The sequence below is a fragment of the Homo sapiens genome, chromosome 15 (assembly GCF_000001405.40).
Source record: "Homo sapiens chromosome 15, GRCh38.p14 Primary Assembly".
Taxonomy (NCBI): Eukaryota; Metazoa; Chordata; class Mammalia; order Primates; family Hominidae; genus Homo; species Homo sapiens.
This window is the reverse complement of record NC_000015.10, coordinates 76,620,792-76,634,712: the sequence shown is the minus strand read 5'-3', so window position 1 is coordinate 76,634,712 and position 13,921 is coordinate 76,620,792. Positions and strand designations below refer to the sequence as shown.

Below are 13,921 nucleotides of genomic sequence, written 5' to 3'. Positions count from 1 at the left end.
TTTGGCAATGGCATCTAAAAGAATAAAGTAATTAATAATACATTTAACCAGAGTGGTGTAAGACTTGTATGTTGGAAACTACAAACGTTATTAAGAGAATTTAAAGAAGACCTGAAAAATTGAAAGACATTCTGTGTTTCATGCTTTAGAAGACTTAATATTTTTGAGATGGTGATACTCCCAAAATTGGTATACAGCTTCAGTGTAATCCCTGTCAAAATTCCAATAGCCTCTTTTGTAGAAATGAACAAGCTAATGCTAAAATTTATATAGAAGGGGGCAGCCAAGATGGCTGAATAGAAACAGCTCCACTCTGCAGCTCCCACCAAGAAGGATGAAAATGGCAAGAATTCTGCATCTTCAATTGAAGTACCAAGATTCTCTCATTGGGACTGACGAGGCAGTTGGCATGACCCATGGAGAGTGGGGAAAAGCAGGGTGGAGTGAGGGTCTACCTGGGAGCTGCATAGGGCAAAGGGAGCTCCCTCCCCCAGGCAAGGGAGGCAGTGAGGGACTATGCTACTCCTCCCTGAAAACCATGCTTTTCCCACAGATCCTTGTAACCTGTGGATAAGGAGGTCCCCTCATGAGCCCACGCCACCAGGGCCTTGGGTGCCAAGCACAGAGCTGTGCAGAATCATGGCAGCTGCTCAGGTGGGCGGCTGCTCGAGTAGGCACTGAGACACGGGAGTTTTTGCATACTGTGGCTCTGGGAACTCAAGTGAGGCAGGAGATCCATCCACTCCATGGGAAGGGGGCTGAAGCCAGGGACCAAAGTGGCCGCCCTCAGTGGGCCCCAACTCCCTATAAGCTAAAATGACTGGCTTGGAATACCCACCAGTTCAGCAGGCTGGAGACTGCCCTAAAGACCAAGTTCCGGGCGGAGAGGGGTGACCACCATCACTGTGGCTCCAGTCAGCTGTTTTCCCCTGCTGCAGGTGCCAGTAAGACTGGGCATTTTGGACAGGGAGCAATTCCCCACAGTGCAGCACAGTGGCTGGGATAGTTTGTGGCCAGACTGCTTCTTTAAGCAGGACCCCAATCCACTCCTCCTCACCAGGCAAGGCCTCCCTGTGGGAATTGCAGCATCCCCAGCCAGGTGTTTATGGACAGAACTCTGATATCCCTGAGAGGAGCCCCTAGGAGGAGGGGTGCCTGCAGTATGGTGGATCAGCAGTCTTAATGTTTTCTGCCTGCTGGCTCTGGTGAGTCAGGGCAGCCCGGATGAGGGGGATTCCCCCTAATGTAGCACACCTGCTCTGCCAAGGGGCAGCCAGACTGCTTATTTAAGCAAGACCCTGATCCCGTTCCTCCTGACTGAGTGAGATGTCCCAATAGAGTTCGCCAGACACCTCATACAGGAGTGTTCCAGCTGGCATCAGGTTGGTGCCCCTCTGGGTCAGAGCTCCCAGAGGAAGGAGCAGGCTGCCATCTTTGTTGTTCGGCAGCGTCCACTGGTGATAATTCCAGGAGTGGGAAGGACCCAGGGAAATAGCGTCTGGAGTAGATCCCCAGCAAATGGCAGCAGCCCTACAGAAGAGGGACCTGACTGTGAAAAGACAAATAGAAAGCAAGAGCAACAACAACATCAATGAAAAAGACCCCACAAAAACCCCATTTAAAGGTCAGCAGCAGGCTGGGCACGGTGGCTTACACCTATAATCCCAGCCAGCACTTTGGGAGGCCGAGGCAGGCGGATCACCTGCGGTCAGGAGTTCGAGACCAGCCTGGCCAATATGGTGAAACCCTGTCTCTATTAAAAATACAAAATTGAGCCGGGTGTGGTGGTGCATGCCTGTAATCCCAGCTAACCAGGAGGCTGAGGCAGGAGAATTGCTGGAACCTGGGAGGTGTGGAGGCTGCAGTGAGCTGAGATTGTGCCACTGCACTCCAGCCTGGGTGACAGAGCAAGATTCCGTCTCAAAAAAAAAAAAAAAAAAAAAAGTCAGCAGCCTCAGAGATCAAAGGAAATAAATCCATGAAGATGAGAAAGAATCAATGCAAAAATGCTGAAAACTCAGAAAGCCAGAGTGCCTCTTCTCCTCCAAATGATCACAACACGTCTCCAGCAAGGGCACAGAACTGGGCTGAAGCTGAGACGGATGAATTGACAGAAGTAGGCTTCAGAAGATGGGTAATAATGAACTTTGCTGAGCTAAAGGAGTATGTTCTGACTCATTGCAAAGAAGCTAAGAATCATGATAAAACATTACAGGAGCTGGCTGGGTGTAGTGGCTCATGCCTGTAATCCCAGCACTTTGGGAGACCGAGGTGGGTGGATCACAAAGTCAGGAGATTGAGACCATCCTGGCTGACACTGTGAAACCCCATCTCTACTAAAAATACAAAAAAAAAGAAAGCCGGGCTTGATGGCAGGCACCTGTAGTCCCAGCTGCTCAGGAGGCTGAGGCAAGTGAGTTGTTTGAACCCAGCAGGTGGAGGTTGCAGTGAGCTGAGATTGTGCCACTGCACTCCAGCCTGGGCGACAGAGTGAGACTCTGTCTCAAACAAACAAACAAAAAACCGTTACCGGAGCTGTTACCCAGAATAACCAGTTAGAGAGGAATGTAAATGACCTGATGGAGCTGAAAAACACAACACGAGAACGTCACAATGCAAACACAAGTATCAGTCGCCAAATAGATCAAGGGGAAGAAAGGATATCAGAACTTGAAGACTGTCTTCCTGAAATAAGGCAGGCAGACAAGATTAGAGAAAAAAGAAAGAAAAGGAACAAACAAAACCTCTGAGAACTATGGGACTGTTAAAAGGCCAAACCTGTGACTGATAGGGGTAACTGAAAGAGATGGGGAGAATGGAACCAAGTTGGAAAACACACTTTAGGATATCATCCTGGAGAACTTCTCCAACCTAGCAAGACAGGCCAATATTCACATTCATGACAACCAAAGAACCCCAGTAAGATACTTCTCAAGAAGATCAACCCCAAGACGTATAATCTTCACATTCTCCAAGGTCAGAGTAAAGGAAAATATGTTAAGGGCAGCCAGAGAGAAAGGCCAAGTCACCTGTAAAGGGAAGCCCATCAGACTAACAGCAGACATCTCAGCAGAAACCCTACAAGCCAGAAAAGATTGGGGGTCAGTATTCATCATTCTTAAAGAAAATCCAACCTAAAATTTCATATCCGGCCAAACTAAACTTCATTAGTGAAGGAGAAGTAAAATCTTTTTCATACAAGCAAATGCTGAGGGAATTTGTCACCACCAGGCCTGCCTTGCAAGAGCTCCTGAAGGAAGCACTAAATATGAAAAGGAAAGAACGTTACCAGCCACTACAAAAACACGCTGACATACACAGACCAGTGACATTATGAAGCAACTACATAAAGAAGTCTGCAAAATAGCCAGTAAGCATTGTGATGACAGGATCAAATCCACACATAACAATATTAACCTTAAGTGTAAATGGGCTGAATGCCCAAATTAAAAGACACAGAACGGCGAGCTGGATAAAGAGTCAAGATCCATCAGTGTGCTGCATTCAAAAGCTCCATCTCACATGCAAAGACACACATAGACCGAAAATAAAAGAATGGAGGAAAATTTACCAAGCAAATGGAAAACAAAAAAGCAGGGGTTGCAATCTTAGTTTCTGACAAAACAGACTTTAAACCAATAAAAATAAAAAAAGACAAGGGCATTACATAATGATAAATGAGTCAATTCAACAAGAAGACCTAACTGTCCTAAATATCTATACACCCAGTATAGGAGTACCCAGATTCATAAAACAAGTTCTTAGAGACCTACAGAGAGACTTAGACTCCCACACAATAGCAGTGGGAGACTTTAACACTCCACTGTCAATATCAGACAGATCATCAAGACAGAAAATTAATAAAAATGTTCAGGACTTGAACTCAGCTCTGGATCAAGTGGACCTGATAGATATCCACAGAATTCTCTACCCCAAAACAACAGAATATACATTCTTCTTGGTGCTTCATTGCACTTACTCTAAAATTGATCACATAATTGGAAATAAATCACTCCTCAGCAAATGCAGAAGAACTGAAATAATAACGGTCTCTCAGACCACAGCGCAATCAAATTAGAACTCAAGATTAAGAAACCCACGCAAAACCACACAACTACATGGAAATTTAACAACCTACTCCTGAATGACTCTTGGGTAAATAATGAAATTAAGGCAGAAGTTAAGAAATTATTTGAAACCAATGAGAACAAAGAGACAACGTGCCAGAATCTCTGGGACACAGCTAAAGCAATGTTAAGAGGCAAATTTATAGCGCTAAATACCCACATCAAAAACCTAGAAAGATCTCAAATCAGCACCTTAACATTACAACTAAAAGAACTAGAGAACCAAGAGCAAACAAACCCCAAAGCTAGGAGAAGAAAAGAAATAACCAAGCTCAGAGCAGAACTGAAGGAGATAGAGATGTGAAAAATCCTTCAAAAACTCAGTGAATCCAGGGGCTGGTTTTTTGAAAAAATGGATAAAGTAGATAGACAGCTAGCTAGACTAATAAAGAAGAAAATAGAGAAGAATCAAGTAGACACAATAAAAAATAATAAATGGGATATCACCAATGACCCCACAGAAATAGAGAATACTGTGTTTCCACAGTACTATATACTGTATAGACCCCACCATCAGAGAATACTATAAATACCTCTATGCAAGTAAACTAGAATATCTAGAAGAAATGGATAAATTCCTGGACATAAACACCCTCCCAAGACTGAACTAGGAAGAAGTTGAATCCCTGAATAGACGAATAACAAGTTCTGAAATTGAGGCAGGTGATAAATAGCCTACCAACCAAAAGAAAAGCCCAAGACCAGATGGATTTATAGCTGAATTCTACCAGAAGTTCAAAGAAGAGCTGGTACTATTCCTATTGAAACTATTCCAAAAAATTGAAAGGGAGGGACTTCTCCCTAACTCATTCTATGAGGCCAGCACCATCCTGATACCAAAACCTGGCGCAGATACAACAAAAAAAGAAAACTTCAGCTAATATCCCTGATGAACATCAATGCAATGATTCTCAATAAATACTGGCAAACTGAATACAGCAGCACATGAAAAAGCTTATCCACCACAATCAAGTTGGCTTCATCCCTGGGATGCAAGGCTGCTTCAACATATGCAAATCAGTAAACATAATTCATCACATAAACAGATCTAAAGACAAAAACCACATGATTATCTCAATAGACACAGAAAAGGCCGTTGATAAAATTCAATATCCCTTCATGTCAAAAACTCTCAATAAACTCGGTATTGAAGGAACATACTTCAATAATAATAAGAGCCATTTATGACAAACCCACAGCCAATATCATACTGAATGGGCAAAAGCTGGAAGCATTCCCCTCAAAAACTGGCCCAAGACAAGGATGGCTTCTCTCACCACTCCTATTCAACATAGTTTTAGAAGTTCTGGCCAGGGCCGTCAGGCAAGAGAAAAAAATAAAGTGTATTCAAATAGGAAGAGAGGAAGTCAAAGTGTCTTTGTTCGCAGATGACATGATCCTATATCTAGAAAACCCCATTGTCTCAGCCCAAAAGCTTCTTAAGCTGATAAGCAAAGTCTCACGATACAAAATCAATGTGCAAAAGTTACAAGCGTTCCTATACACCAACATTAGGCAGAGAGCCAAATCATGGATGAACTGCAATTCACAAGTTCTCCAAAGAGAATAAAATACTAGGAATACAGCTAACAAGGGAAGTGAAGGACCTCTTCAAGGAGAATTACAAACCACTGCCCAAAGAAATCAGAGCAGACACAAACAAATGGAAAAACATTGAATGCTCACAGATAGGAAGAACCAGTATTGTTCAAATGGCCATAGTGCCCAAAATAATTTATAGTTTCAAAGCTATTCCCATTAAACTATCATTGACATTCTTCACAGAATTAGAATAAACTATTTTAAAATTCATATGGATCCAAAAAAGAGCTTGTATAGCCAAGACAATCATAAGCTAAAAGAACAAAGCTGGAGACATCGCGCTACCCAACTTCAAACTATATTATAGGGCTACAGTAACCAAAATAGCGTGGTACTGGTACATAAACAGGCACCTAGACCAATGGAACAGAATACAGAGCCCAGAAATAAGGCCACACACCTACAACTATCTGATCTTTGACAAGCCTGACAAAAGCAATGGGGAAAGGATTCCCTATTCAATGAATAGTGATGGAATAACTGGCTAGCCATATGCAGAAGATTGAAACTGGACCTTTTCCTTATACCACATACAAAAGTTAAATCAAGATGGATTAAAGACTTAAATGTAAAACCCAAAACTATAAAAACTGGAAGACAACCTCAGTAGTACCATTAGGGACATAGGCACGGGCAAAGATTTCATGATGAAATTGCCAAAAGCAATTGCAACAGAAGAAAAAGTTGACAAATGAGATCTAATTAAACGAAAGAGCCTCTGCACAGCAAAAGAAACTATCAGAGCAAACAGGCAACCTACAGAATGGGAGAAAATTTTTGCAATCTATGCATCTAATTAAGGCCTAATATCCAGAATCTAAAAGGAACTTAAACTTACAAGAAAGAAAACCCCATTAAAAAGTGGGCCAAGGACATGAACAGACACTTCTCAAAAGAAGACATTCATGCGGCCAACAAACATATGAAGAAAAGCTCAACATCACTGATCATTAGAGAAATGTAAATCAAAACCACAATGAGATACCATCTCATGCCGGTCAGAATGGCAATTATTAAAAAGTCAAGAAACAACAGAGGCTAGTGAGGTTGTGGAGAAATAGGAGTGCTTTTACACTGTTGGTGGGAATGTAAATTAGTTCAACCATTGTGAAAGACTGTGGTGATTCCTTAAAGATCTAGAACCAGAAATACCATTTTACCCAGCAATCTCATTACTAGGTATATACCCAAAGGAATAAAAATCATTGTTACAAAGGTACATGTGTGCGTATGTTCATTACAGCACTATTCACAATAAAAAAGACATGGAATCAACCCAAATGCCCATCAACGATAAACTGGATAAAGAAAATGTGGGACATATACACCATGGAATACTATGCAGCCATAAAAAGGAATGAGATCATGTTCTTTGTAGGGACATGAATGGACCTGGAAGCTATTATCCTCAGCAAACTAACACAGGAACAGAAAACCAAATACCACATGCTCTCAGTTACAAGTGGGAGCTGAACAATGAGAACACATGGACACAGGGAGGGGAACAACACACAATGGGGCCTGTCAGGGGGTGTGGTTCGGGGTGGGAGAGCATTAGGAAAAATAGCTAACGCATGCTGGGCTTAATACCTAGGTGATGGATTGATAGGTGCACCCCCATGGAAAAAAAGATTCATGGATTTACTTAGTTTTATTTAACAAATACACAGGTGACACTTACAATATACTATTTTTTATAAAGATAAAAAAAATAGAGGTTTAATTTCTGAGATTTGTAAAATAGCCTCTTTTTTTAATAAAACAAGAAGATTTGTTAGCAAAACAGCTAATAAAAAATAAAATGGAGCATACATATATCCCACATTATGACTGAGAGGGAGTATAACCAAGATGATATTGAGATTAATAATGAACAAATGCAGTGTACAACACTACACCAATGAAATTTTTAATCTTACCAAAGTAGACAAGCATCTGAAAACCAAATCATCAGATTATAATTGTGACAGTATATTTGAAAGGATTCTTTCAACCTTATCTCTTGCTATTCTCACATTTTAATCTTTTGCTCTGACCAAATGGGTCTCCACAATGTTCTAAGCATAACTTGTATTTTTCCTACGTTCAGCATTGTTTACTCAATTTTCTCTGGTAATAATGCCATTTCCTTTGTATTTGGAGACCACCTGACTTTTAAGAGCGTACACATTCCATTTCCTTCAGGAAACAGCTGGAAGTGAACATATCACATTACTTACCTGTCACTTACTCTGCCCCATAGAATTATGTTTTTTGTTTGTTTGTTTGAGACAGAATCTCTCTCTGTCATCCAGGCTGGAGTGCAGTGGTGTAATCTTGGCTTATTGCAACCTCCGCCTCCCAGGTTCAAGCGATTCTCATGCTTCAGCCACCTAATTAGCTGGGATTACAGGCGTGCGCCACCACACCCAGCTAATTTTTGTATTTTTAGTAGAGACAGGGATTTGCCATGTTGGCCAGGCTGGTCTTGAACTCCTGACCTCAAGTGATCCACCCGCCTCAGCCTCTCAAAGTGCTAGGATTACAGGCGTGAGCCACCGAACGTGGCTGGAATTATGTATCTTTTTATGCTGTTATGTCATCTTCTTCCTTCTGCAGACTAAGTTTCTTGAATATTCTCATTATGTATATACCTCTTTGTATCCCCCTCCCATACTATAGTTTATACAGAGTCAAACTGGAAATAAATATTTAATTGAATGCTAAAAGTGAATCAAATGGGAGGTGCTTCCGGATGGTTGACTAGAGGCATCTAGTGTGTGCCTCCTCCACAACAAAGAACCAAAATAGTGAGTAGATAATCACGCTTTGAACAGATCATCTAAGAATATTGGCATTCAACCGAGAAGTGACAGGAGACACCTAAAGCAAGCTTGTCTAGTGCACATCCTGCAGGCCGCATGTGGCCCAGGATGGCTTTGAATGCGGCCCAACACAAATTCGCAAACTTTCTTAAAGCATTATGAGATTTTTTTGGTGATTTTTTTAAAGCTCATCAGCTCTCGTTACTGTTAGTGTATTCTGTGTGTGGCCCCAGACAGTTCTTCTTCTTCCGTTGTGGCCAGGGAAGCCAAAAGATTGGACACCCTGACCTAAAGCCAGATAGGAGAGGAAAGTGAGGTAGCCTTTTCTTCTGCGATCAGCTGGGAGCCTGGAGAGGCTCCCCAGTGTGGGGAAAGAAGTGCGTGATCCCCAGCAGTCCACATTCCCACCGTGGACTCCTGCGTCTAGCCACGGGAAAGCCCCTGCAACTAACATAAGAAGCTACTTGGAGACCATATAAAGGTATTGTTCCAGAGAGGGAGTCCATGCTTGGGCCTCACATACTCCTGAGCCCTGAGCAGCTACAGAAAGGTGCCACAATCAGAGTCTGCCTCCTACCAGAGCTACATTCTGCCCAGGGGTCCAACAGCTTCTGCATTTCCATAACTCAAACCCCGTTGACATTCCCCACCCTCAGCCAGCACCAGAGTTGGCTACTGCCTCCAGGGATGAAGTGAGAGCCATTGTCAAAGACCCTACTGCCCCTAGCGGTGAGGCCACTGTAACATCTTCATACGTCCAAGAATGAACTTCCCTGCCAACAGCAGCCACCCCTGTGGGCCGCTGAACCTGGGGCCAAAGCACAAGCAATGTGCATGCTTCCCAGCTGCCTCTGCATATGGGTGCTGCTGAGAGCAACCTCATTCTCCCTAGTAGTGGGGCTCCAGTGCATCCACTGCCATGCCCACCCAAGCATTCTGCCTTAGGCCTGAGTATTACCCCATGCTGGCCTACCAAAGCTAGCACCTACACATACCACCAGAGTGCCTGATGACAGATCCACCCAGCTCATCTCCACACCCCCAGTAACCAAGCATGTTGCCCAGGGGCCTGGGGACTGCCCAGCCCAGTCCACCGCTGTTGGTACCCGAGTACTCTCTCTGGGGGCTTAAGGGAAAGCCCACCCAACCTGTCATTGCCATCACCGTGGGGGTTCATCCACCTGCAAGCCTGGGGATTAGACTGCCAGCCCATGAAGGCTACCACCAACAACATGAGAGTGAACTATTTGGGATCCAGAGGTTATTCCTGCCAATGCTACTGCCATTGCCCTTACCATGGCCCCAGAACCCACCTTCCTCACTAGCCCATTGTTGCAACCCCTGTCACCAGAGCAAGCTGCCTGTAGGCCCAAGAATCAGCTCACCTGGACCTGCTAACGCCGGTATCAGTGTTTGTCACTGTGGAGCCTAAAAACAAGTACATTTGGCCCACTGCTGCCACTACTGGGGCTTGAGGTGTCCCCATCCCCAGCAAAACTTCACCAGAACCTTCACTAACAACCCTACTATAAATCACTGAGGAAATCACAGACACCACTGATGCTGTTTACAACTGAAAAACAGCATATGTGACATATGCAACATCATAAGGTGACAAAATACTCAAATTTGCAGTGTCCCAGAAGGTGAAGAAAAAATGAAAGGTAACTTAATAGGAATAGCATTGAATCTGCAGGTTACTTTGGGCAGCCATTTTAATGATATTGATTCTTCCAATCCATGAGCCCCTATGGAATGTTTTTTCATTTATTTGTATCATATATGATTTATTTCAGTAATGTTTTGTAGTCCTCCTTGTAGAGATCTTTCACTTCCTTGGTTTAAATGTATTCCTAGGTATCTTATTTTTGTGTATGTGTGGCCATTGTAAATGGGATTATATTCTTGATTTGGCTCTCACCTTCAATGTTATCGGTGTATAGAAATGCTACTGATTTTGTACATTGATTTTGTATCCTGAAACTTTACTGAAGTCGTCTATCGGTTCTAGGAGCCTTTTGGCAGAGTCTTTAGAGTTTTCTAGGTATAGAATCATATTGTCAGTGAAGAGAGATAATTTGACTTATTTTCCTGTTTGAATGCCTTTTATTCTCTTGCTGATTGCTCTGGCTAGGACTTAAAATATGTTGAATAGGAGTGGTGAGAGTGGACATCCTTGTGTTGTTCCTGTTCTTCAGGGAAATGCTTCCAGCTTTGGCCCATCAACTATGGTATTGGCTGTGGGGCTGCCATAGATGGCTTTTATTATTTTGAGGTATGTTCCTTCAATTCTAGTCTGTTGAGGGTTTTTTATCATGAAGGGATGTTGGATTTTATTGAAAACTTCTTCTGCATCTATTGAGATGATCATATGGTCTTTGTTTATCAATGTCACTTTTTACAAAATTATGAAAAGCTATTCTGAAATGCATATGGAGCCATAAAAGAGCCTGAAGAGCCAAAGCAATCCTAAGCAAAAAGAGCAAAATGGGAGGCATCACATTACCCAATTTCAAACTATACTATAAGTCTACAGTAACCAAGAGAGCATGGTACTGGTACAAAAGCAGACACGTAAGACCAATGGAACAGAACAGAGAACCCAGAAATAATGCAGCACACCTATAGCCATCTGATCCTTGGTAAAGCTGACAAAAATAAGCAATGAAGAAAGGACTCCCCATTTAATAAATGGTGCTGAGATAACTGGCTAGCCATATGCAGAAGAAATAAATTAGACCCCTACATTTCATCATATACAAAAGTTAACTCAAGATGAATGAAAGATTTAAAGGTAAGACCTCTAAACTATAAAATTCCTAGAAGAAAGCCTAGGGAATACCATTCTAGACAATGGCCTTGGCAATGAATTTATGACTAAGTCCTCAAAAGCAATTGTAGTAAACACAAAAACTGACAAGTGGGACCTAATTAAAGAGCTTCTGCTCAGCAAAAGAAACTGTCAATGGAGTGAACAGATAACCTACAGAATGGGAGAAAGTATTTCACAAACTATGCATCCAAAGGTTTAATATCCAGAATCTATAAGGAACTTAGACAATTGAATAAGCAAAAACCAAATAAAGCCATTAAAAGGTGGGCAAAGGACATGAACAGACACTTCTCAAAAGAAGACATACAGTCAGCCAAGAGACATAAAAAATGCTCACGGGGTGAGGTGCCACACTCTTAAACAACTGGATGTCACATGCACTCATTATTATTCACTCCTATAGGGAGGGCACCTGGCTGTTAATGAGAGATCCACCCCTGTGATCCAGCCACCTTTCATTGGGCCCGACTTCCAACATTGGGGATCGCATTTCCACATGAGATGTGGAGGGGACAAATATCTAAATTATATCATAGGGATAATACCATATTGAATTTTTAGATACTTGTGATATTATTGAATGTACAGCAGCCAGCACAATGCTTGGAACATACTCCACCATGCATAATTGTTACTTTTCCCACCTTTCAGATGAGGTCACAATTACTTGTAGCTACCAAGTAGTTATTTCTGCATTTTGACATGCAAAATGTTTATATTTGTAAAAATCTTTATATTTATAAAAATCTTAATATTTAGGCTGATGGCAATGAGCATACTTAGGTTGAAAAAATATGTACTTTTTTATTTTATTCCAATTTAGATATTTCTTTATTCCAATGCATCATCTGTCTAGTTTGCTTTTTTCCTCATTAGGGCTATTGTAATTTGCATTTTTCTCACTTTTTTAGGTAGGAGTATTTTTTTTTTCACCTGTCATTGTTCTCTAGATTGTTTTACATTGTGGGTAATTTTTTCGTAGATCACTGGATGAATTCTTTGACAACAGGATCCTTTGGATGAGCAGTTAACATTTAAATTGGCATTTTCCTCTTTTTTTTCTCCAAAAAGAGAAATGTACAAATTAAGTCAACAATGGATTGCTATAGTGAGAACTGTCTTAGATCAGTGACTAGCTTGATGACTGTCACCTACTAGTTTAGGCAAGCCGGAGCCTAGTTAGAAAGGGGCAGAGAAGTATCTCAAATTTTTCTGAACCTTTGGTATTTAGTCAGTATAAAAAACAAAAACAAAACACATCTTTGAGAGTCTGGTCACGTTATTTCCACTGTCTTTTTAGTTATTTCTAAAATTAAATGACTTTTTTTGTATTATTATTTACCTGTATTTATCTTTTCATTGTATAACTCTTGAGGTACATAGGTAGTCAGCCACTTCAATCACCAGATTTAATAGGCTTAGTGTTATATTTAATAGGGGAAAAATACAGCCAACATTTTGGTTTATTATAAAAATTAGCAGTGAAATAACTGTGTTAAAACTTTTTTTCTCTTCAGGGCTAAGGAATATGAGAGTTTAATGGAAACCAAAAATTCTGGCTCTGATTCACCTTATAAAGCAAAGTGAGTATTCCACATTTTAGTTCTCCTTTTCTTCAGTCTATGCCTGTAACAAAAGTGTATCTCAACCATCATGTTATGTCTGTAATAAGGTTCTTTGATTCTAATTTCTAGAACAGCATTCTCTTAACACAGTAGTATCCAACTAGAGGAGAGTTGGCTGAGGATATTTGGCCATGTCTGGGCACAGTTCTTGTGAGCACAACTTGGGGCTGCTAGCATCAAGTGGGTGGAGGCCAAGGATTCTGCTATATATTATTCAGTGTATAAGACAACCCTCACAAAGAACTGTCTCATCCAAAATGTTAATAGTACCAAGGTTGAGAATCCCTGTTCTAACAGATCAGGTTCTGGCAAAGCAAGGCTGTGCTGGTGCTTGCTCTGAGGAGATCTCTTTAAGGATTGTTCCTCGGGCCAGTCCGTAAAGAGAATTAGAGTTCTCTAATGCTAATTCTCATGAGATTTTAGATGAGAATTTAGACTTCACCATTGAGGTGTAAATGTAATTAAATAATAGCTAGGTAAACAAAGGCATCATCATTTTGTTTCTCTTAAAAATACTGTCAGTAGAGCTGCAGTGAGAAAAGTACTTAGAAACACTATTGAAGGGAGTACAGACTAGTATGGTCTTGTTGAAAAGCAGTGTGCATTAGCAGTTTAGGAAGTCCTATTCAGACCTAAGCCTGCTCAGTGGAATAGCGCAAAATGTGCTCAGATATTTATATACATAGATGACTCTTTTAAAAATTTTTTTTTAATTTTAAGTTCTGCAGTACATGTGCAGGATGTGCAGGTTTGTTACATAGGTAAACGTGTCATGGTGGTTTGCTGTACCTGTCAACCCATCACCTAGGTATTAAGCCCAGCATGCATTAGCTATTTGTCTTGATGCTCTCCCTCCTCTTGTCCCCCCTCGACAGGCCCCAGCATGTGTTGTTCCCCTCCCTAAGTTTATGTGTTCTCCTTGTTCAACTC

At 41.5% G+C, this 13,921-nt stretch overlaps 1 protein-coding gene across 26 annotated transcripts in view; it reads left to right on the top strand.

Moving 5' to 3' along the window:
- Positions 1-13,921, top strand: part of SCAPER (S-phase cyclin A associated protein in the ER) — a 557,437-nt gene that overhangs the window by 270,628 nt on the left and 272,888 nt on the right. For all 26 annotated transcript variants that reach the window (NR_148227.2, XR_007064448.1, XM_017022273.2 and 23 more), the window contains one exon: positions 12,884-12,949. Coding sequence is in view for 24 of the 26 variants with exons in the window: in XM_017022273.2 (XP_016877762.1) it covers positions 12,884-12,949 (66 nt within the window). In the remaining 2 variants the exon portion in view is untranslated. The remainder of the gene's footprint in view (positions 1-12,883; positions 12,950-13,921) is intronic.